Genomic DNA, 23,841 nt, shown 5'->3' with positions numbered 1-23,841 from the left:
GGCCCCAAGGTATGACCATCCCTGAACGTGTCCTGGCTAGCAGAGTCCCCTCCACCCTCTCTGCGTCAGGCCCTGCTGGAAGCCACGCAGGTGAAAGAGGACAGGATGCCCAGAACAGAGTTTTACTGTTTTCCTGTTATTGGAGCCCCAAGGCTACTCTTTTCAGTCCAGTCTTGATCTGGTGTTAGGGGAAAGAAAGTATCTCCTGGAAGCCGACTCTAAACCCAAGGGGGTTGGTGCCAGGGTTCTAGGAATGCCTTGGGTGGCGTGAACGCAGGAGTGGGAGGATTCGCTGTCTCTCCCTCCCCTTCACGCCTGTAGCTGGAGGGCCCTGAGCTTGGGAGGTGAGGAGGGGGGCAACGTTTCTTCTCTGCAGGAGCCTTGTCTTTCCTCTCTGGACTGTGGGTGGCTTGTGTGACCACTGATGCTTCCTCTGTCCCAGGCTCTGAGGAGTAGATTCAGCAGACAGGACTGATGGACCTCTACCAAGCAGCGCCGGGCACTAAGTTAAGACTGGCTATTTGTAGGTGCTGGACTTGACTGCTTCCCTCCAGCTTCCTTTTGGGATCAGGGTGCCCCTGAGATCCTGGAGCTGGGGTTGGTGTAGGGTCCTGCCTGTTTTGCAGAGTGAGATGGCTGCCAAGCGTGGTTCTGCCTTTGGGTCAGGCTTGGCACCCATTTTTCCAGTGTGCTCAAGGTTGGCATGGCTTCCAGGCAGGTATTTTTTTTTTTCACATAAAAATAGCTCAGCTGGAAGGAGGCTGGGGGATGTTCTTTGAACCAGGATCTAAGAGTCTGAGTGCTTTCCCAGTGGGAACTGGGAGCAAAGTTACAGTTTCTAAAGTGCTGGTGCAGTTCTGTTGCTTCTCGGCAGTCCCCGTGCTGTTTCAAGGACTGAGAAAGTCTTTGTAGAGCTCGCCATCGAAATCTGGAATTCCTGTCTTCTGACAGTCTTCCATTTAGGGCCAGGAAACTGAGTTCTGAAAGGAAAGAGAGTACTGTATACGGGAGAGGGGATTGTAGGGATTTAAATTGCTGTTTGTGGAGTACTTCCCTCTACCTCGATTTGTGATATCCTCACAACAACCCTTTTATCAGATTCCACCTTAAAGCCAATGCTGTCATGACCACCTGCCTTTTTACAGATTGAGAAAGCCGAGACGAAGAGAGGCTGATTCTCTTGCCCAAGGCTGCACAGCCATGAAATGACAAAACCATAACTGGAAGCCCAATTCCTAGCTCCCAGATCTGTGGCTCTTGTATACCGAGAAGACTTTTTTTCCTGGGGAGGAGGCAAGGGCACTTGAAGGAGGGGTTGCCACTGGGTGATGGCGATCACCTGTAACTTCTACTGCTTTCTACCATAGACTCCCAGTTGCTTACATCCGGGCTGCCCGACTTCCTTGGCCTGAGCTCCCAAGGGGCAAGCCACGCCTGACTGACCGGAGCCTGGGGTGGGAGGAATGGGGTGTGCAGGAGGGGAGAGGAATTTGCCTTTGCACTGGGGCCCCGTCAGCTGTCTGGATGGCGGCTCAGCACACTGCCATCAGCTGTTTTCCTTAGGGTGGCTCAGCTGTTTTCCTTAGGGTGGACACAAAGCCCAGACCTCTTGTTTTTATTTTTCTCCTGAGCGTGCTCTCAGCCGTGTGCCTCCTGGTCCCTAACACAGGGGAGAGTTTATGGTGTGTCCGGTAGCAAGGCCAGAGGGTGCATCACCTCCTCTGTGACTTTGTTTTTTGGTCTAATAAAAAATGGGGAACTCTTCTCCTTCCCATAGTTGCCAATGACAGACTCACCATGTGCTGCTTAATAAGTTACAAATTTATAGCTCTCTGAGCAGAAAAATATCAACACAGCGTGTTCTGCCCTTCCCTGTGTGTTCTCTCCACTTTGTTCTTTGGGGTGGCTGCTTGGTGGCTTTTCTTATTACTGTTTAGATGCTGGTTTGGCCCAGAGTTCGCTCTGTTCAAGTTCTGGCCGGAGTTTCCTGGACAGAGTTCCCACAACACTGAGATGCACTCTGACTGTGTTTTCTAACCCGATTGCTTGCTCTTCCTCTGTTCATGTTCTCAGTGTACTTGGTGGGGGCTTTGACCACAACTGTGGTCTAATCATGATCATGTGCGCTTCATGGGAGACAGGCACTGTACTCAGCACTTTACGAGCTGTATCACAACCTTTCAGAAAGGGAGGTGTTTTCGCTCCACTTTATACATGTGGAAACCTGAGCTCAGGGAAGTTTAGTGGTAGTGCTGGGATTTGAACCCAGGCTCATCCAATTCCAGATCCGGTTATCTTAATCATCATAAGGTGGTAGGTGCTGGTGACTAACCAGGGGGATGAGCCTTGGGGCCTGCTGAGTAATTGATAGTTACCTTTAACAATCTCTGCCCTAGGGGCCCATCCCAGGAAATGGCAAAGGGTGTGTCCAGTGCAAGACTGGGTAGCTTTGCCTTCCCATCCTCTAGCAGGGGGAACAGCCAGCTGTTGGCAGTGCCCAGTTGCTGCTGGAATCTGGACATGTCTTCTTTCAGCTTCTCAGCAGTCTTGACCCTTTGGAAAACAGTGCCTCATTGTCCTTGGGGGTAGTGCTAGGGGGGCAGAGGAGTTGCCTGGGGCATTGGGAGCTATGGAGCCTCCCTGTTTCCATGGAAAGTCTGGACTTTGGGCTTTCCTGTCTGTGGTCCCTCTGTGTGTTAGGGCAGAGTCAGGGCACCCAGCTGCTGGGCGTGTGGCAGAGGCGGCATTTACCCATGCAGCGATAGTGCCCTCCTGGTGGGCTCTGCATCAGTGCCAGACCTTCTCCTGGGCTTGTGCTAGTAAGGGGCAGAGCTGGGATTCAAACCTTGGTGGGTTTGATTCTTCAGCGGGTACACTTTCTGATATGTGAAGCTGTCTGCTGCCTGGGCAGACATAGCTTGATGGAGAAATGCTCAGCCTACTGGAACCCAAAGCCCTGTCACTATAGGTTCAAGGTCTTTTGAGGGAATATCTCAGTATTCCTTTTTTCCAGCTTCCCTAGTGATGGTCATGCATTGAAGAGACTGGGTGTACCCTTGGCTGGAGAGGCTGATGGAAGGCCAGAGTTATTGGTGGGCCACTGAGCAGCCCTCCTCTCCTATTTAGTCATCCTGCTTGGAGTATCTGACTCTGAAGCTTCTCTTGCGTCTTTACCTCGCTCCAGAGATGTTGAATAAACTTCCAGCCTCATTGCAGCCTTTCCGGGGATCATCCTAGTCTCAGTGCCTTCATTAATAATAACAAAATCTGCCGGGCATGGTGGCTCACACCTGTAATCCCAGCACTTTGGGAGGCTGAAGTGGGTGCATCTTTTGAGGTCAGGAGTTCAAGACCAGCCTGGCCAATGTGGTGAAACCCAATCTCTACTAAAAATACAAAAATTAGCTGGGCGTGGTGGCGCGTGCCTGTAGTCTCAGCTACTCAGGAGGCTGAGGCAGGAGAATCGCTTGAACCCGGGAGGCAGAGATTGCAGTAAGCCGAGATCGCATCACTGCACTCTGGCCTAGGGGGTACTTTTCTTTTTTACAGTGTTTACAGAACTTTTTCTCATAATATTTATTGAGCTCTTATTATGTGCAGGCACTGTGCTGGGCACTTTACATGCATTGTTTGCTTGAATCAAGCTGGCCATATGAGGCAGGTTTTATTAGTAGTCGTATTACTACTACCTGTTTTATAAGTGAGGAAACTGAGACACAGAGAGGTGAGCCCACTTGCCCAAGTTCTACAACTAGTGAATGGCAGTGCTAGGATTTGAATCCAGGTGGTCTGGCTGCTGAGCGGGACTTGCAGCCAACTGTTTTGTACACTTTTTTTTGGAGACAGGGTCTGCAGCCTCTGCCTCCCAGGCCCAAGTGTTCCTCTTCCCTCAGCCTCCCGAGTAGCTAGGACTACAGGCATATGCCGTAACGCCCCGCTAATTTTTGAAATTTTTTGTGGAGACAGGGTTTCACCATGTTTCCCAGGCTGTTCTTGAACACCTGGCCTCAAGCAATGTGCCTGCATCAACCTCCCAAAATGCTGGGATTACAGGCATGAGCCATTGTGCCTGGTGCATTCTTTACACTTCTGTTCATAATACTGCATCTGATATGGGTTGCCCATTGGTTTGACTGTTTTCTGTTTCTAGGACACTAACATTTTTCTGCACCCACCCTATTCTCTGTTGTCTTCCACATCTGTCATTTCCCTGTTCTCTGCAGCTTCTTGTCTGTCTTTTGTTCTTTTTTTTTTTTTTCCTGAGTTTCACTCTTATTGCCCAGGCTGGAGGGCAATGGCATGATCTCGGCTCACCACAACCTCCACCTCCCAGGTTCAAGCGATTCTCCTGCCTCAGTCCCCCAAGTAGCTGGGGGCATGAGCCACCATGCCCAGCTAATTTTGTATTTTTAGTAGAGACGGAGTTTCTCCATGTTGGTCAGGCTGGTCTCGAACTCCCGACTTCAGGTGATCCACCCGCCTCGGCCTCCCAAAGTGTTGGCATTACAGGCGTGAGCCACTGCACCCGGCCTTTTTGTTCTTTCTTGGGGACACACACTCAGGATGGGATGCAGGGTCCTGGGGGGAGTGTCTCCTGTTCCAGGGGAGGCCCCAATCCTCCCTCCCTGGTCACCTCTCCAGTCACCTGTTACTCTTGAGACAGAGCAGTGAGCTTACAGCACCACTGCCAAGGAGAACCTGGGGCAGGTCCCCTGTGGTCCCTTGCCACCTCCTCTGCTCAGGAATCAGAAGCCTTCCTGTGCCCCCAGCCCCGCTGCACCCGAACATGCTCCTTGTCTTTCCCGTATCCAGAGGAGGGAGTTGTTGAAAACTTTATGGTGGAGAATGAAGGATGTCCTATGGGAGGGGGAGAGGAAGAGAGAATCAGGAAGCTGAGTTTTCTCAGAAATGTTCACAAAGCAAGTCATGGAAATGGCTTCAGGGTGCCCTCCTCACCTGGGATGGGCCCTGAGACTCCATCGACAGCCTCACGGGGTCCACTCTGCCTTTTGCAGTCTGGGTCTTGTTGGGAGTCTCATATCTGGCCTTGAGTGTACATTCATACCCTGATAAGTCTTCCAACTAACTAACCGATTGCCTAACCAGTGGTGCTCAGGGCTGGCCTCTCCAGGGAGGCCTTGGATGCTGGGCCAGTGGTAGACAGAACATGCGGTTGGCCAGGCCCAGTGGAACCCCAGTGGCCAAATCTTCCCTTAAAGACGGACTTTTAATGCTTATTTCTTGTGTGATTGTGGTATTGTGGTTTTATGGGAGAATATTGTTATTGTTAGGTGCATGCTAAAGTATTTAGGAGTGAAGTGTCATGATGTCTTGCAACTTATTTTTATTTTTTCATTTTTTATTTTTGAGGCAGAGTCTTGCCCTGTCACCCAGGCTGGAGTGCAGCAGCGCGATCTTGGCTCACTGCAACCTCCGCCTCCTGGGCTTAAGCAATTCTCCTGTCTCAGCCTCCTGAGTAGCTGGGACTATGGGTGCATGCCACCACACCCGGCTAATTTTTGTATTTTTAGTAGAGGTGGGGTTTCACCATATTGTTTAGGCTGGTCTTCAACTCCTGACCTCAGGTGATCCACCTGCCTCAGCCTCCCAAAGTGCTGGGATTACAGGTGTGAGCTACCCCACCTGGCCTCAACTTAGTTTTATTTGTTTTTTTTTGTTTGTTTGTTTTGAGGCAGAGTTTTGCTCTTGTTGCCCAGGCTGGAGTGCAGTGGCACCATCTCAGCTCACTACAACCTCTGCCTCCTGGGTTCAAGCGATTCTGCTGCCTCAGTCTCCCGAGTAGCTGGGATTACAGGCATGCACCACCACGCCTGGCTAATTTTTTTATTTTTAGTAGAAACCAGGTTTCTCCATGTTGGTCAGGCTGGTCAGGCTGGTCTCAAACTCCCGACCTCAGGTGATCCACCCACCTCGGCCTCCCAAAGTGCTGAGATTACAGGTGTGAGCCACTGCACCCAGCTCAACTTAGTTTTAAATGATATAATGAAAAAAAGGATATACACATAAAGGGCAGAGAGCACAAGGGCCATGCGTTTACACAAAGTGGTAAAACAATGACAGCCATTCAATCTAAGTGAGAGTACCCGGGCCTCTCAACTTCTCTGTGTGCTTAGACATTTTTATAATGAAAAGTTGGAGAAAAGTAAGGAAACCCTGCTTTTCCATGATGGGCTTGGAGTTGTTGGGCCTAGGTGCTGGCCTGCGCCTGCCTATGGTTGGCCTGAATGACTGCTGGTCTCCTGTGATTGAGCAGGTGGTGGGAAGACTGGGTGAGCAGAGACAGTAGCTGGGGGGGCCTCAGGTGACAGTGACTGCTGACTATCATCTGGGAAATGGGGAGCACAGTGCTGTGACCTGTGCAGAAAAAAGACAGGCCCAGAGACAGTGTGTGTCCATAGGTGTGGAGGCAGCCTCATGAGTTATTTGAGCATGATGACATTAATCAGACCAGGGTTGAAGCATGTGAGATGCCGAACTCTGGTTGGAGTTTGAGATGGGTTGTCTAGGCTGATGGGATGCAGAGCAAGACTTTTTTTTTTTTTTTTGAGACGGAGTCTTACTCTGTCACCCAGGCTGGAGTGCAATGGTGTGATCTTGGCTCACTGCAACCTCTGCCTCCCAGGTTCAAGTGATTCTTGTGCCTCAGCCTCCGCAGTAGCTAGGATTATGGGCGTGCGTCATCACGCCTGACTAATTTTTGTAATTTTAGTAGAGATGGGGTTTCACCATGTTGGCCAGCCTGGTCTCGAACTCCTGACCTCAGGTGATCCGCCCGCCTTGGCCTCCCAAAGTGCTGGGATTACAGGTGTGAGCCACGGTGCCCAGCCACAGCAAGGCTTTACATAATTCAGGGAACGGTCTCTGGGCAGCTTGAGGCCTGTGGGCGGGGAGGAGATGTCTTTTGCCTCACATCATGAACCCCTTATCTGTGGCCAGTGGAACACCATTAACCTGTGGGCAGTGATGGCTGAGTGTCCCCAGGCTTTTGCTTATAGCTCAAGTCTGACCATCCAGTTTTCCAGCCTTCAGGCTCCCCCTCCTGGAATCCCCACTCCCTTGGTCCCTCCTGTCTAGTTTGTGCTGACTCAAAGCTGGCCCTCTTGGACCTCCAGTCTGTTTTGGGGAAATAGCTGGATTCTGGCACCAGTGGCCCTCTTGGCTCTGAGGCAGAGGTGAGGGCCCTGGTGCCTACTAGAAACATTTCGGGCAGCCAGCAGGCTCTCATGAGGGGAGGGCTTCATGCCAAGGTCTTCTTTCAGCCTCATGTCATCTATGTCAGCGTGCAGAGATGCCGAGGCTGGCCACTTGGCGAGGACTATGAGGTCTTCTAGCGAGGGCTCAGAGCTTCACTCTGCCTATTTGAAAGCAGCATGATGTGTGTTTTATGGGGGAGGGGGTGATGCTGGGAGGAAGCTTTATGTAATTCTTGGCTGGAGCTCAGGTAATTGTTTTAATGAAATGGAATGCAGCTTATTCAGAATTCGCTTGGCAGAAACAGCCATGTTCTGTTCTGTTTTCTTGTTGGGGAGAGCAGGGCACACATTTCCAGCTGTTTTGAATCGTAGAACTCTGGGTGAGCTGGAGCAAGGGGGGTGGAACCCTCCAGGGAGCTCCAGGGAGCTTCAGGCCGATTCTCTTCTGGATCCCGGTCTGTGTGTATTGTTTTGAATGAGCCTTGGAGACTTTGGCCTCTTCTAAAACATAAAAACCCTACTGAGGCCAGGCGCGGTGGCTCATGCCTGTAATCCCAGCCTTGGGAGGCTGAGGCAGGTGGAACACCTGAGGCCTGAAGTTGGGAGTTCGAGACCAGCTTGACCAACATGGAGAAACCCCATCTCTACTAAAATACAAAATTAGCTGGGCGTGGTGGCGCATGCTTGTAATCCCAGCTACTCGGGAGGCTGAGGCAGGAGAATTCCTTGAACCTGGGAGGCGGAGGTTGCGGTGAGCCAAGATCAGGCCACTGCACTCCAGCCTGGGTGACAGAGCGAGATTCCGTCTCAAAAACAACAACAACAACAAAAAAAAACCCTATTGAAAGCAGGCTATGAAATGGGTGTAATGCCTGCCTTCCACATTGTTGGGAGACTGAGTGAGGTGCTTAGCACATAGTAGACAGATCCTCAAGGATGGCCTCTATTTGCTCACGCTTTACTCCACCCCCCACGTCCCCATCTTTCTACCCCCTTTTATACCTCATGGTCATCATCTTCTGTCAGTGTAGATGGCTGTGGCCCCATGTGGCCCCGATGTCCCCATCTGCAGGTCCACCTGGCTCTCCTTTTTCTTCTGGTTCCGTTTTTCTCCTCTCCTTCTCTTCTCTTCTTTCTCTTTTCTCACAGGGTCTTGTTCTCTTGCCCAGGATGAAGTACAGTGATCTGATCACAGCTCACTGTAACCTCCAACTCAAGCGATCCTCCTGCCCTCAGCCTCCTGAGCAGCTGGGACTACAGGCACGTGCCACCATGCCTGGCCAATTTTTTATTTTTTATACAGCCGGAGTCTCATTATGTTTCTCAGGCTGGTCTCGAACTCCTGGCCTCAAGCAATCCTTCTGCCTTGGCTTTCCAAAGTGCTGGTATTATAAGTGTGAGCCACCATGTGTCTTGCCTGTTTCCCTCTTTTTACTTTTCTGCTTTTACTAACTTCAGTTTTTTGTTTTGTTTTTTAGAGAGTCTTGCTCTGCCGCCCAGAATGGAGTACAGTGGCATGATCTTGGCTCACTGCAACCTCTGTCTCCCAGGGTCAAGCGATCCTCCTGCCTCCGCCCCACCCCCCCCAACCCCCCGCAGTCCGCAGTAGCTGAGATTACAGGCACACACCACCATACCTGGCTAATTTTGTATTTTTGGTAGAGATGGGGTTTCGTTTGCCATGTTGGCCAGGCTGGTCTCGAACTCCTGAGCTCAGGTAATCCGCCCACCTCGGCCTCCCAAAGTGTTGGAATTACAGATGTGAGCCATTGTGCCTGACCTGCACTTACTAACTTTTTTACTTTGCTCCTTTTTATTTTATTTATTTTTAAATTTATTATTATCTTTTTTGAGACAGAGTCTTTCTCTGTCACCCAGGCTGGAGTGCAGTGGCATGATCTTGGCTCACTGCAACCTCCGCCTCCCGGGTTCAAGTGATTCTTCTGCCTCAGCCTCCTGAGTAGCTGGGACTACAGGCGCCCGCCACCATGCCCAGCTAATTTTTGTGGTTTTAGTAGAGATGGGGTTTCACCATAGTGGCCAGGCTGGTCTTGAACTCTTGACCTTGTGATCTGCCTGCCTCGGTCTCCCAGTGCTGGGATTACAGGTGTGAGCCACCGCGCCCGGCCTGTTCCTTTTTAAATTTTAACACAGTCTGACCCATTCTTCCACGTTTGCTCTTTTGCTGAGACACCTGTCTCACCCTTTAGCTGCATATTTTTTTCTCCCTTCCTTAAGCTCCGCTTGCTTCTCCAGAGACCCTCCCACCTTCTTTTCCCAAGTCTCCTCTGATCCCTGAGTGGAGGTGCACCTGGGTGTTTTCCCAAAGGATTTCTCTGAACTCCTTGTTTTTCAACTATGCACCTCGGTCAGTTAATCAACTGCATGACCTCTTTTATAACCTGTGTGCTGGTGACTCCCAAATTTATATTTCCACCCCTGACGTGAATTCTATTGTCCAGATTCTTCCGGTCTGCGCACCAGCAGAGACTCAACTCATTTCCTTTCCACTCTCCCTTCTCATCTACTCCCTTCTCATTTCCTTTTCACTCTCCCAGGCCCCATCTACTGCCTGTTCTCTGTTAGCGCCCCCTCTCTTCTCTGGGCCTGTATTAGATAATGGGCATTTGTGTAGCACGTTAAGCTTGAGGAAATATTTTCATGTGCTTCTTTATTTTTTAAAAAACTAAACCTTAGGCCGGGCATTGTGGCTCACACCTGTAATCCCAGCACTTTGGGAGGCCAAGGCAGGTGGATCTTGAGGTCAAGAGATCAAGACCAGCCTGGCCAACATGGTGAAACCCCGTCTCTACTAAAATTACAAAAATTAGCTGGGCGTGGTGGCACGTGCCTGTAATTCCAGCTATTTGGGAGGCTGAGGCAGGAGAATCTCTTGAACCTGGGAGGCGGAGGTTGCAGTGAGCCGAGATCACACCATTGCACTCCAGTCTGGGTGACAGAGCGAGACTCCATTTCAAAAAAAACAAAACAAAAACAAAAGAACCACTAAACCTTATTGTGTATATTCGAGGTTTACAACATGTTGTCATAGGATACGTACAGATAGTAAGGTGGTTGCTAAAGTGAAGCAGATTAACCTGTCAGTCATCTCACAGCTACTTTCCTGTGTGCCAAGAGCAGCTAAATCTACTTATGTAACAAAAATCCGAAAATCCCGAGTACGATTTTCTTAACTTCAGCCCTCATATCATACATTAGATTTCTAAACTTGTGCATCTCGTGTATCTGCTACTTAGTATTCTTTGACCCACGTCTCCCCATTCTCCACTTCCACCCATAGTAACCACTGTTTCATTCTCGATCTCTGTATTTGACCTCTTTATAGATATATAAATATATATATTGGACTGGACGTGGTGGCTCACGCCTGTAATCCCAGCACTTTGGGAGGCTGAGGTGGGTGGATCATCTGAGGTTAGGAGTTCGAGACCAGCCTGGCCAACATGGCGAAACCCTCTCTACCAAAAATATAAAAATTAGCCAAGCGTGGTGGCACGGGCCTGTAGTCTCAGCCACTTGGGAGCCTGAGGCAGGAGAATCGCCTGAACCCAAGAGGTGGAGGCTGGAATGAGCCAAGATCACGCCACTGCACTCCAGCTTGGGTGACAGAGAAAGACTCGATCTCAAAAATAAGTAAAATAATAAATAAATAAATATATGTATATAGTACATATAAGTGAGATCATGCAATGTTTTTCTTGTTGTGTCTGGCTTATCTTACTTAGCACGTCCTTCCATGCTGTGGCAAATGGGCAGAATCTCCCTTTTTAAGGCTGAATAATTCACTGTATCTATATACAATGGATGTATAAACCACATTTTAATTATTTGTCCATTGACGATCATTTTTTATATGGTTCTGATAGCCACCCTTTGAGGTAGATAGTAGTTATTTTCTACTTTCAGAGGAAGCTAAACTGAAGCCCAGAGGAGTTAGGGGAAGGGAACACACCCAGTGTTACCACAGGCAATGATGCAAGAACCTGCACCTTGGGTGGGTCTTCCCACAACTAGCCCGGTCTCTTTTTTCTTTTTCTTTTTTTTCTTTTTTGAGATGGAGTCTCGCTCTGTCACCCAGGCTAGAGTGCAGTGGCGTGATCTCAGCTCACTGCAACCTCCGCCTCTGGGGTTCAAGCAATTCTCCTGTCTCAGCCTCCTGAGTAGCTGAGACTACAGGCGTGTGCCATCATGCCTGGCTACTTTTCATATTTTTAGTAGAGACGGGGTTTCACCATAATGGTCAGGCTAGTCTCAAACTCCTGACCTCAGGTGATCCACCTGCCTTGGCCTTCCAAAGAGCTGGGATTACAGGCGTGAGCCACTATGCCTGGTCTTCTTTCTGGTTTTTCATATGGGAAACCTCAAGGTAGAAATCAGAAATCTACGGGTCAGATTTGGTCTGCAGACCCTTGTTGCTTGGTCTGCATGGTATTCAAAATATTCCAAATTAGTTGCCAACATTTAAAACATCAGGAGATTGCACCAAAAAGTCCATGTTGTTCCTTTTTTTTTTTTTTTTTTTTTTGAGACAGAGTCTCACTGCGTCACCCAGGCTGGAGTGCAGTGGCATGATCTCGGCTCAACTGCAACCTCCGCCTCCTGGGTTCAAGCAATTCTCCTACCTCAACCTCCCGAGTAGTTGGGATTACAGGCGCCCGCCACCACGCCCATCTAATTTTTGTATTTTTAGTAGAGACGGAGTTTCATTACATGTCGTTTCTTTTGAAAAATCAGATCAGGCTTCATGGGATGTGTGTACTCTGTGTCACCACTTGGTTAACCTCAATAGCTCCAGCCTTGTATTTGACCCTCTCTGTTGCCTACATTGGGTCTCACTTGCCTCACACATATTCCTACTTGGCCCCTGCTTTGGGGGATTCTAAGAACTCTCTGTGCTCGATGTTTAATGACAAATGCAGTTGCCAGATCTAGGGGGTATCTTGTATTGCAGTCTCTGAATTACATTTGACTTCTGACCATGCCAACCACTCAGTTCTGCCTTGAGTCTAGATGTTGGTTCAAGTTGCAGAAAATAGCCTTCTCCTGACTCACCTTACCCTCTGCCTTTAAAATCTTAGCTGAATCCACCTTTTTGAGAAGGCTTTTTTCCCCGATAAAACTAACCAGCCTGTTGACCCTCCTGCTAAGGTAAAACTTTACAGATCTGTGTAAATTAGGCTTTCTTCTGTCTCCCGCTCTGCCCCGTAAGCTCTTTGAAGACAGGGATTTTATCTGCCTTTCAAATACCCCTTGCCACCAAGCACTGTGCTGTTCTCTCTGCGGTCACTTAATAACTACTTGATGGTGGTTGGTGATTAAATGGGTATGAACTGCGACACCCACAGTGATGCTGAGCCTGCAGCAAACCACTTCCTCCTCTGGAGAACCTGAGTTCTCTCTGGGTTTGGGGTGGGGAGGTGGCATAGAACCCAGCCTCTGACATCAGCCACACTTGGTTCTGTATCAATGCTGTTGCCTACTACTTGTGTGACCCTGGCAGATCACTTTACACTCTGAGCCTTGGTCTCCTAATCCATGAAATAGGTGCATTTCCTGACATACTTTCCCGAAATACTTTCAAAGTGCTCAGTAACTGGTGATGGTTATCGTTCATTCTTGGGATAATCTTGACAACTCCTGGGGTGGAGGGTTTGGCTTTTGGTATCATTCTCTTGGCATTTATTTGTTTGTTTGTTTATTTATTTTTGAGACCAAGTCTCGCTCTGTTGCCCAGGCTGGAGTACAGTGGCACAATCTTGGCTCACTGCAGTCTCTGCCTCCCGGGTTCAAGCAATTCTCCTGCCTCAGCCTCCCAAATAGCTGGGATTACAGGCGCCCACGACCACGCCCAGCTAATTTTTGTATTTTTAGTGGAGACAGCGTTTCACCATGTTGGCCAGGCTGGTCTTGAATTCCTGACCTCAAATGATCTGCCCACCTCACCTCCCAAAGTGCTGGGATTACAGGAGTGAGCCACCGCAGCGGCCTGTTTGTTTATTTATTTATTGAGATGGAGTCTTGCTTTGTCATCCAGGCTGGAGTGCAGGGGCGTGATCTCAGCTCACTGCAGCCTCCACCTCCCATGTTCAAGTGATTCTCCTGCCTCAGCCTCCTGAGTAGCTGGGATTACAGGCATGCGCCACTATGCTGGCTGTTTTTTGTAGTTTTGGTAGAGGTGGGGTTTCACCATGTTCGCCAGGCTGGTCTCAAACTCCTGACCTCAAGTGATCCACCTGCCTTGGCCTCCCAAAGTGCTGGGATTACAGGCGTGAGCCACCATGCCGGGCCTTATTTATTTTTTAATTAATTGATTTTTTTTGAGACAGAGTCTCGTTCCGTTGCCCAGGCTGGAGTGCAGTGGCGTGATCTCAGCTCATTGCAACCTCCACCTCCTGGGTTCAAGTGATTCTCCTGCCTCAGCCTCCCGAGTAGCTGGGATCACAGGCACCTGCCATCACACCCAGCTAATTTTTTGTATTTTTAGTAGAGATGGGGTTTCGCCATGTTGGCCAGGCTGGTCTTGAACTCCTGGCCTCAAGTGATCTGCTCACCTCGGCCTCCCAAAGTGTTGGGATTACAGACGTGAGCCATTGCACCTGGCCCACTCTTCGAATTTAAGCTTCCACTTCATCTTTAGGTTGGCTGCATTTCCCGTGGCCTTGGTGGGCACTTAGTGCAATTGGCCCTGTTTGGTTGCTTAGCTAGGCCTGGGGGAAGAATCTGACTTCAGTTACTTTCTGGAAGAATGTGATTTAGGACTCTTCATGGCGCCATGGGTTGGAGAATGTTTGGAACTCTGCTGTGGAGGTGAAATGGCCACACCCTTGGGCTGGTGGTGTTAAGTTGGGTTTTGGTTATATGACTTTTAATTTCCCCTGAGCCTCTTTGGTGGCTTTCATGAGGAAGTGGTGGGGGAGGAGGTGGCTTGGTGGCTTGGTTTATACTAATCGCTCATCTAACACTAATATTAGTGAGAGCTGCCACAGGGAGCTGTGCTGAGATCCACTCCCAGATCAGCCCTGGGCTTCTCCTAGCACTCTAGGCATCCAGAAAGCCTCATGGGGTGGTCTGGCCCCTGAGGCTCCTAGTAGCAGTAGAAAAAAGGAGAGTTGGTTTTCTGGACTGTGAACTTGGTGGTTGTACACTGAGTGGACACAGCTGTGTCATGAAGCTGGCCCAGTGACTGTACCCCTTTAGGGGTAGTTGATCTGTGGGACCCACCCTGGGCTCTGTTGGAGGTTTGAAGTGGCTCAGAGAGTCCTGGCCGAGCTTTGCCCCCTCTGTTTCCAGGAACATTCCTCTTCCTTAGGTGGAAATGGGAGTGTCCAATGGCCTGCACTTGGTTTCCTCTGGATTTGCCATTTCCCCTGTGTACTCCTGGCTCGGCTGGCCGGCTAAGGCAGTTTCTCATCACTGATGTGCTCTGGGACAGCTGAGTGGGATGGGCTCCTCTGGGGTGGGTGTGGAGGAGTGGTCGTGATGCCTGGAACACTGCAGTCACTCCTCAGAGACACGACTTGGCAGCCCTCCTGAGCCTGCCTGGTCACATGCTGCCTGTCTTGGAAGGTCCTCTGTCCCAAGCAGTGGATGTGCAGTTTCTTCACCCCTGCTTAGCTTCATCAGGCACAATGCGTCTTTGAGGTGAGGTAGCTGTTGGGATAGCTGGGTGGTCTCATTTCTTCCCTGCCTCACCACCTCAAATGGCCTCTTCTGCTGTGTCCTGAACTTTCCAAGAACTCCTCCCCCTTCTCTCTCTTTGGAAGTTGGCACTTGAAGTCTTTTTGTCTGGTCTTTGGAGGCAGCCAAGCCGGAAAGAAGCTGGGGAAGAAGATCGTTACCTGGAGGCGGTTGTCATGGCTTCCTGTGGTCACTTGTGGTCATCTGCTTCTAAACATCCTGTTTGTGCCTCTAGAGCAGCAGGAACAGTGACCAGGAGACAGCTGTTATCTGCCTGACTTTGGCCAAAGCATGGGGGCTGGGGTGTCACCATCCTGGGGGATGCTTGATTGGCTGATCACTGGCAATTGAGGGCATTGCTGGTAGCAGCTCCTTTGGGCACCACTGGCTTGGGCTCTGTCCTTCCTCTTCTCCCTGCTTCGACTGTCTGAGATTTTCCCTCCTAATGGCCTGTTGGGTATTATCAGTCTGCACTCCCCCTCTGTGCTTCTGGACTGATCCATTCTTTCTTAGAGTCCTCTGGTGCTTCCAGAGCTGGAAGGAACCTTAGGATGTCATTTCCTCCTATGCTTGGGAGTTTGTGGCCGTCATCTTCTTCAGTCAGAGCTGCTTACTTTTCTCTGTTTATATATTGAGCTTCCATCTAAGACCACAATTACAAAAGGGGTTTTGTGGATTTTTATTTTATTATTTATTTATTTATTTATTTTGAGACAGAGTCTTGCTCTGTCGCCCAGGCTGGAGTGCAGTGGTGCAATCTTGGCTCACTGCAACCTCTGCTTCCCAGGTTCAAGCGATTCTCGTGCCTCAGCCTCCCACGTATCTGGGATCACAGGTGCCCAACACCATATCTGACTAAGTTTTGTATTTTTAGTAGAGATGGAGTTTCACCATGTTGGCCAGGCTGGTCTCAAACTCCTGACCTCAGGTGATCCACCCGCCTCAGCCTCCCAAAGTTTTGGGATTACAGACGTGAACCACTGCACCTGGCCATAACTGCCAGCATTAATATAGTGTTACTCACTCTGTGGCAGCCACTGTTCTAAATACCTCCCTTACGTTCCCTTATCATTTCCTCACAACAGCCCTCTGAAGTAGGTATTCTAGCTGACGACACTGAAGCACAGAGAGGTGAGCAACTTGCCCGAGGTTAGTTGCTGATTAGTGGTGGAGCTGGGATTGGATTCAGTGACTGTCGCATACAGCCCTTTGCTGACATTGTAGACTCTGTTCTGATTCCTGCTCGCCAATGAGGGTGATGCCACGCGGTGCCACTGGGGAGGAGGGAAGAGAGGGGACAGTCTGGTGTGTGTGTGTGTGTGTGTGTGTGTGTGTGTGTGTGTGTGTGTGTGTGAAAGTCATCTGTGGATTGTATATGGTGTGCTTGGGGGTGCAGTAATTGAGGAAACATAGTCAACCAGGTGTCTGCTGAGGGCAGTGGGGGCTGTTGAACACTGACCCCTATCCAGGGTTATCAGGGACTGAAAATGACCCCAGGAGAAGTGTGGTGTGAGCTGGCGTGCTTCCCTCTGGGGAAGGTCTAGGGGCTGTGGACAGAGGAGGGAGCATTTCCTGCTCTGTGGCCATCCTCCAGCCCCCTCTTCTACCGTGAGCAAAGGCTGGGGTCCCTCATGTTCCCCAGACCAGCAGTCTGGCAGCCCTCTGTCCTCCTGCTCTTCACCTCTCTTGGGTTATTTGCTTATATCTTCCACTGGCTTCCTTTGGAAGAGTTTTTTCTCAATTATTGAGCTTTCTCAACTGGAGAGTCAAAGTCTCCAGTTTCCAACTAGGATTGTGGATTTGTCACTTTTTCTTTTCAATTTTGTCCATTTTTGCTTTATCTACTTTAGAGCTCTGTTGTTGAGTGGGTGTACATTTAGGATGATTATGTCTTCATGATGAATTGACTCATCATTATGAAATGTCCCTCTTTACCTCTGGTAATATTCCTGTCTGGAAGTCTGCCTTGCCTGATATTAACAGAAGCACTTCAACTTTCTTTCTTTTTTTCTTTTAAACAACTGCTATTCTGTTAATAAAATAGTTGCTTGAAACATCTGCAGTGGTGACTTTAACCTTGAATCTCAGCTCAGTACAGATGGACGTAATCTGCTTAGCAATCTCGGGAGGACCATCCAGGTCAGTGAGTCACTTGCGGATTCTCATCTGGAAACGATCCCTTGTCCTAGAACCTTCATCACGAGGCGTTTTTCTTATAGTGATTCTCAGAGTCTTGATAGGCATCTGAACTGATCCTTCACTTTGAGATTCTTTTCCTTTGCACCTCTGATCAAGTCAGCACACACCTTCTCCAGAGATTTGATGTTGCGGCAGGCTAGGGTAATTCTGATTTAATAAATTGCCACCTCTAGTTCCACGGATGGCTTTGAAAGCCATAGCTGTGGTGTGGCTTCCTAGCTGACTTGTTCTGGGGTGAGGGCAAACAGTGGCAACTCAGGAGCAGGCGAGGGCACACCAGAGTTTAGTGGCAGCTGCCAGCTGGCTCCCTCAAAGGGCCACTCTGCCTTCCTTGATATTAGTGTTTGCATGGTATATCTTTCTCCATTGCTTTATACTGAATCTATCTGTGTCTTTATATGTAAAGTATGTTTCTTGTAGATAGCATGTATTAAATACTGCATTTCTACCCAGGCTGAAAATCTCTGCCTTTTAATTGGAGTATATAAACCTTTTAGATTTTAAAGTAATTATCAATGTGGTTAGACTGAAGTCTATCATGTTGCCATTCATTTTCCATTTGTGCCATCTGTTTATTCTTTCTTCTTTTCTAGCCTTCTTTTTTTTAAAATTTTTTTTTATAGAGACAGGGTCTTGCTGTCACCCAGGCTGAAGTGCAGTGGTACAGTCATGGCTTACTACAGTGTCAAACTCCTAGGCTCAAGTGATCCTCCTGCCTTAGCCTCTCGAGTAGCTGGAATTACAGGCATATGCTAACATGCCCGGCTACATTTTTCTTTTTTTTTTTTTTTTTAAGACAGATTCTCACTCTATTGCCCAGGCTGGAGTGCAGTGGCGCAATCCTGGCTCACTGCAACCTCTGCCTCCCGGGTTCAAGTGATTCTCCTGCCTCAGCCTCCTGAGTAGCTGAGACTACAGGCACGCACCACCATGCCTAGCTAATTTTTTTGTATTTTTAGTAGAGACAGGGTTTTACCATGTTAGCCAGGATGGTCTCGATCTCCTGATCTCACGATCTGCCTGCCTCAGCCTCCCAAAGGGCTGGGATTACAGGCATGAGCCACCGCGCCTGGCCTGGCTAAATTTTTCTTTTTTCTTTTTCTTTTCTTTTTTCTTTTTTTTTTTTTTTTTTTGAGACAGAGTCTTTCTCTGTCCCCCAGGCTGGAGTGCATGGCTCACTGCAACCTCTGCCTCCCAGGTTCAAGTGATTCTCATGCCTCAGCCTCTGGAGGAACTGGGATAACAGGCATGCGCTACCATGCCCAGCTAATTTTTGTATTTTTAGTAGAGATGGGGTTTCACCATGTTGGCCAGGCTGGACTCGAACTCCTGACCTCAAGTGATCTGCCCACCTCAGCCTCCCAAAGTGCTGGGATTAAAGGCATGAGCCACTGTGCCCAGCCTAATTTTTTATTTTTATTTTTGTAGAGACGGAATCTCACTGTGTTGCCCAGGCTGGTCTCTAACTCCTGGCCTCAAGCAATCCTCCTGCTTTGGCCTCCCAATGCGCTGGGATTATAGGTGTGAGCCATTGTGTCTGGCCTCTTGCCTTGTTTTAGATTCATTGAGTATTTTTTAGGGTTCTGTTTTATTTCCACTCTTTGCTTATTTAGCTATACTTCATTGGTTTGATTTTAGTGGTCACTCTGTGGTTTGCAGGTTTAAATTAATCACAATCTGCCTTCAAATCATACCATACCATTTCACGTATAATGTAAGAACAGTATATTTCCATTTCCCCCTCCTGTTTTTTGTTATTTCTACATATATTATGAAACCCGTACTATGTAGTCCACCTTTTATGTTTGTCCACAAATTTACTATAATATTTCTAGCATTCTTTTTTTTTTTTTTTTTTTTGAGATGGAGTCTCGCTCTGTCGCCCAGGCTGGAGTGCAGTCGTGCGATCTCGGCTCACTGAAAGCTCCGCCTCCTGGGTTCACGCCATTCTCCTGCCTCAGCCTCCCAAGTAGCTGGGACTACAGGTGCCCGCCACAACACCCGGCTAATTTTTTGTATTTTTTAGTAGAGACGGGGTTTCACCGTGTTAGCCAGGATGGTCTTGATCTCCTGACCTTGTGATCCACCCACCTCGGCCTCCCAAAGTGCTGGGATTACAGGCGTGAGCCACTGTGCCCGGCCGCATTCTTTTTTTTTGAAGACTAAAGAAGTTAACAAAAATGTCAGGAAAACATTGTTTTGTTTTTTTTTTTCTTCCCCTCCTTTTCCCATTCTCGTCTGAGAACGTGTTGTCTTCTTCCTCCCTGGCTAGTTTCCCTGCCTGTGAACTCCCTCAGCCTCACTAATCTGTACGTGCTTTGTGGCTCATCCCATCTGTGCTTCAGTCATGATAATCGATGCTGTCAGTCTCTCTGGGCTACACAGCCCCACACTTGGTGTTGCTGACACATTCCGGTGGTGCACGTTTGAGAAAATCGCACATTCCAGCTCATGTCCCCTGCCTCCTCTGCTCCATGGGGAGAGGTGTGACCAGATCTGCAGGGCCTGGGGCTGCCACACTCCTGTTCCTTCTTGCTCTGTTGCTACGTGATGCCCCTCCTCCTCCTTCCCCAGCACCAAGCCAGAGAGTCACCCAGTCCCAGGCCCCAACTCCCTCCCAGCTGCCTCATTCCTATGCCCTGAGCCCACCTCTTGGAGCTCCCCTTCCCCACCCACAAAGGAAGCCAGATAGGCCACCCAGTGAGTTTAAACCTTAAGTACCCACAAGGGGCTATGCTCCAGCCACAAAGTCTTGTGGACTATTCCTTTGATTTTTTTTTATTATTTATTATTTATTTTATTTTATTTTATTTATTTATTTGTTTTGAGACAGAGTCTCGCTCTGTCACCCAGGCTGGAGTGCAGTGGCGTGATCTTGGCTTACTGCAACCTTTGCCTCCCAGGTTCAAACACTTCCCTGCCTCAGCCTCCTAAGTAGCTGGGATTACAAGCGTCTGCCACTGCGCCCAGCTAAGTTTTGTATTTTTTTTTTTTTTTTCCGAGACGGAGTCTCACTCTGTCATCCAGGCTGGAGTGCAGTGGTGCGATCTCTGCTCACTGCAAGCTCCGCCTCCCGGGTTCACGCCATTCTCCTGCCTCAGCCTCCCGAGTAGCTGGGACTACAGGCGCCCGCCACCACGCCTGGCTAATTTTTTTTGTATTTTTAGTAGAGACGGGGTTTCACCGTGTTAGCCAGGATGGTCTCGATCTCCTGACCTCGTGATCCGCCCGCCTCGGCCTCCCAAAGTGCTGGGATTACAGGCGTGAGCCACCGCGCCCGACCAAGTTTTGTATTTTTAGTAGAGATGGGGTTTCACCATCTTGGCCAGGCTGGTCTTGAACTCCTGACCTTGTGATCCACCCACCTCAGCCTCCCAAAGTGCTGGGATTACAGATGTGGCCACCATGCCCAGCTATTTTTTTGTTTGTTTATTTTAGGGTAGGAGTTTTGCTGGTTGGGGAGGGGTGGTGGCAACTAGATCACAGTAGATGGGACATTCTGGGATAGAAGAGTAGGAACAACTTGGGCCCTGTGCTCCTGTGTTGCTCTCCCTCACCGGGCTTTGCATACAGTGAGCTCTTAGGGAGGACCAGGAGGTGGCATGAGCTGAAGTGGCAAGGCTGATCTCAGCAGCAGACTGACTTGGCGCAGGTCATTTGTTGATTTGTTTGGTATCATCCATGGAGCCCCTATTATATGCTAGGCTCTGCCCAATGCTCAGATGAAGATGAATATAGGCGTACTCCCTACCCACAATGTGCTATTCCTAGGCTGTGAGACATGGCCCCTTAGGCAGACAGTTCCTACCAGCTTGAGGTGTTCTCATAGGAGAAGTGCACAGTGCTTTGGGAACTCAAAGGAATGGAGCCTCAAACCCTTTGTAGGAGAGTAAGGTCAGGGAGGGCTTCCTGGAGGAAATGGGATCCTAAACTGACTCTGTTTTGTGTGTGTTTTAAGAGATAGGATTTCTCTGTTGCCCAGGCTGGAGTGCAGTGATGCCATCATAGCTCACTTGCAGCTTCAAACACCTGGGTTCAATCCATCTTCCAGCCTCAGCTTCCTAAGTAACTGGGATTACAGGCATGTGCTATAGCACCTGGCGAATTTTTAAAAATTTTTTGTAGAGACAGGGTCTTGCTGTGTTGCCCAGTCTGGTCTCAAATTTCTGCCCTCAAGCAATCGTCCCGCCTTGGCCTCCCAAAATGCTTGGATTACAGGCATGAGCCACCATGCCCGGCCTTTTGTTGTGTGTTTAAATAGAACCTCAACATTTAGAAAAGGCCCCAACCTTTGTCCTTTACTTAAATGGTCATTCTGTAATAAGATTTTGGAAAGAGACCTTCCCAGCAGAAAAGCAACACGTTGCTTTTTCTCTAGGTAGGCAGGATGGATCCTTTTTATCCTCTCGTTGAAGAAGATAAACTAAGCTATTATGAGTCTCAAGGGATTAGAAAGGATTTAGCCTGGTAAAGAAGACAGGAGAGAGGTCTAGGGAGAGGGAATAGCTCATGCAGAGGCCTGGAGGGCGGACGTGTGTGCAAGCATGTGTGTTTAGTTCATTGGTAGTGATTTGGTGCCCTGTGTCCAGTTGGATCTTTCAAGCTAATCAAACTTATCCTGAGCCACAAGGCCAAGGACAGTCATTAGGCTTTGCATCTTCATTGGAATGACCTTTTGGGGATGACCTTGCTACGATAGCTGAGATGGGGCTGGCCTTTGGGGCATCTGTTATCCTACAGTGAGATGAGCTTTTTTTTTTTTTTTTAAAGCCCGAGTCTCGCTCTGTCGCTCAGGCTGGAGTGCAGTGGCATAATCTTGGCTCACTGCAACCTCTGCCTCCCAGGTTCAAGCAATTCTCCTGCCTCAGCCTCCTGAATAGCTGGGATTACAGGCGTGTACCACCACACCAATTTTTGTATTTTTAGTAGAGACAGGGTTTCTCCATGTTGGCCAGGCTGGACTCGGACTCCTGACCTCAAGTGATCTGCCCGCCTCTGCCTCGCAAAGTGCTGGGATTACAGGCATGAGCCACCACACTTGGCCATGAGATGAGCTTTATCTGTGCAAAGTCTCTCTGTGGTCAGCTGGGGCTGGGGCCGTGGGTCAGTTCTGAAGGGCATTTCCATGAGGGTTTGAGGCCTGAGATTGTGTCCTGGGCCCTCTGGCCCCAGTGGTGAGCCGCATGCTCATGTGGCAGGAAGGATCTGGTTCCTCTGATAACCTGCTTAGGCTGACCCCTCTTTTTCCTGGAGGACGGCTGTCAGAGATGGGGCTGGCTTTCTATTTGAATTTCAGAGGCAGACTCGTGCAGATGGGTGCGGGCAGAGGAAGGGAGCCCATGGTCTTCCTGAACACTCTGAGAATTCCCAGAGCAGGCTGCATGCAACTTCCTGAGGTTCTCCCAAAGCCAGACAGGGAGAACAACTTGTGTTCAGGAGAAGGGTACCATATAATTTAACAAACTGTTACTTAGATAGGTGCCTTGGCCAGAGAAAAACGTCCTTGGGCCCTGGCTCAGGGAACACTGTGGCTCTGCCTGTTCTTGGTGTAACTCCTGATCCTTGTTACCGTCATTACCTGACCCCTGCCGCAGACCTTCTTCCCTGTCTCATCTGTTCCATCCCTCCTGCAGGAAACAAACATGGGAGGCATCCTGCACTCCTCACTCCTTCTCCATATCCACTCAGTTTCCAGGTAACATTGATTTTACCTGATTTCATGTAGAGTATTGCAACTCTTGCTCTTCCTCCAATTGAGCCCTGCCTCCCTCTGATCTCCCCTGCCTGAGTGATGTAAAGTGCAAGCCTGGTCCTGCTGTTCCGCTGCTGACCGCCTTCCTTCTGTGGCTTGCCCTTGTAAGTCCAGACTCCCCAGTGGGCCCTCGGCCCTTGACTCCTCTTCCATCAAGCTGGGACTTGCACTCTGAGCTCCCATCCCCTCTGTCTGGGCACTTTCCCAGGCTGTTTTCCACCTCTGCCTGGAAAGCCCCTCCCCTTTCCTCCTGGCCCACTGCCGCTTTCAGGGCCTTCTGCCCCTCGTTTATGACAGTCTCCCACTAGTCAGTGCTCCCCGGAGACAGGCATTGTATATTTGCCCCTCCCATGCCCAGCATAGTGCCCGTGCACACTATGTGTTTGTGAACGCGATTGGAGCCATCACTAGTAAAGGTGAGGCTGTCCCAGTGAGAGCATCGGAGGGAGGGTCTTGGAGGAGGCACGTGAGACAGGTGCAGGTGGCTCTGCCTTGGATACCCAAGCGAGGCCACATCTGTTTTGTGCCTCCTGAACTGGGGTGGCTTCACTGGAGTTTGCTGCCTGGGTCAGTGTCCAGGCAGGTCCCATTCCAGAAATTCTGATCACCTGGGATTGAGGTGAAGATGAGGCAGCTTCAGCTTCAGCCCCTAGTGATCAGACTTGTCTTCAAAGGACCAAGCTGTGATCTGACAGGGGCAGGGTGGTGCACTGTCAGGCCTGCCCATGGCAGTGGTTTCATTCAGATTCCCAACCCCTTTGGGCCATGACTATTGGGATCTCTCCCCAGAGTAGTGTGGTAGGGACATGGTAGTGAAACTTCAGGTGGTCCACAGATCCCCAGGAGGGTCAGCTCCAGATGCCAGATTAAGACTTCTGATATAAAGTTTAGCTCCCTTGGGGGGCTCTCTTCCTCCCTTTCCCTTTGAAAGGGAAAAAAAGAGAATGTGGAATACTTTTGCTCCAGGGTTAGGGAGCT

General features: G+C 49.5%; 1 protein-coding gene and 1 pseudogene across 23 annotated transcripts in view, besides 3 other annotated features; one reads left to right on the top strand and one right to left on the bottom strand.

Moving 5' to 3' along the window:
• Positions 1-23,841, top strand: part of PXN (paxillin) — a 55,284-nt gene that overhangs the window by 972 nt on the left and 30,471 nt on the right. For 2 of the 23 annotated variants that reach the window (NM_025157.5, XM_047429236.1), the window contains exon 1: positions 14,596-14,876. The exons of the other annotated variants lie outside the window; for them this stretch is intronic. The gene's annotated coding sequence lies outside the window, so the exon portion shown is untranslated. Of the gene's footprint in view, positions 1-14,595; positions 14,877-23,841 lie in introns of those variants that run through there. 23 annotated transcript variants of the gene reach the window in all.
• Positions 4,007-4,573: an enhancer, noted in NCBI's record as "H3K27ac-H3K4me1 hESC enhancer chr12:120697989-120698555 (GRCh37/hg19 assembly coordinates)". NCBI's record gives its function as "activates a minimal SCP1, AML or CMV promoter by ChIP-STARR-seq in naive H9 embryonic stem cells {active_cell/tissue: H9 hESC(naive)}" and the evidence as "EXISTENCE:reporter gene assay evidence [ECO:0000049][PMID:30033119]".
• Positions 14,165-14,214: an enhancer, noted in NCBI's record as "active region_7137". NCBI's record gives its function as "activates an Ori minimal core promoter by ATAC-STARR-seq in GM12878 lymphoblastoid cells {active_cell/tissue: GM12878}" and the evidence as "EXISTENCE:reporter gene assay evidence [ECO:0000049][PMID:35858748]".
• Positions 16,968-17,299, bottom strand: RPS20P31 (ribosomal protein S20 pseudogene 31; annotated as a pseudogene).
• Positions 19,087-19,913: an enhancer, noted in NCBI's record as "H3K27ac-H3K4me1 hESC enhancer chr12:120682649-120683475 (GRCh37/hg19 assembly coordinates)". NCBI's record gives its function as "activates a minimal SCP1, AML or CMV promoter by ChIP-STARR-seq in naive H9 embryonic stem cells {active_cell/tissue: H9 hESC(naive)}" and the evidence as "EXISTENCE:reporter gene assay evidence [ECO:0000049][PMID:30033119]".

Source organism: Homo sapiens, chromosome 12, assembly GCF_000001405.40.
Source record: "Homo sapiens chromosome 12, GRCh38.p14 Primary Assembly".
NCBI classification, from domain to species: Eukaryota; Metazoa; Chordata; class Mammalia; order Primates; family Hominidae; genus Homo; species Homo sapiens.
This window is presented reverse-complemented; position numbering and strand designations above follow the sequence as displayed.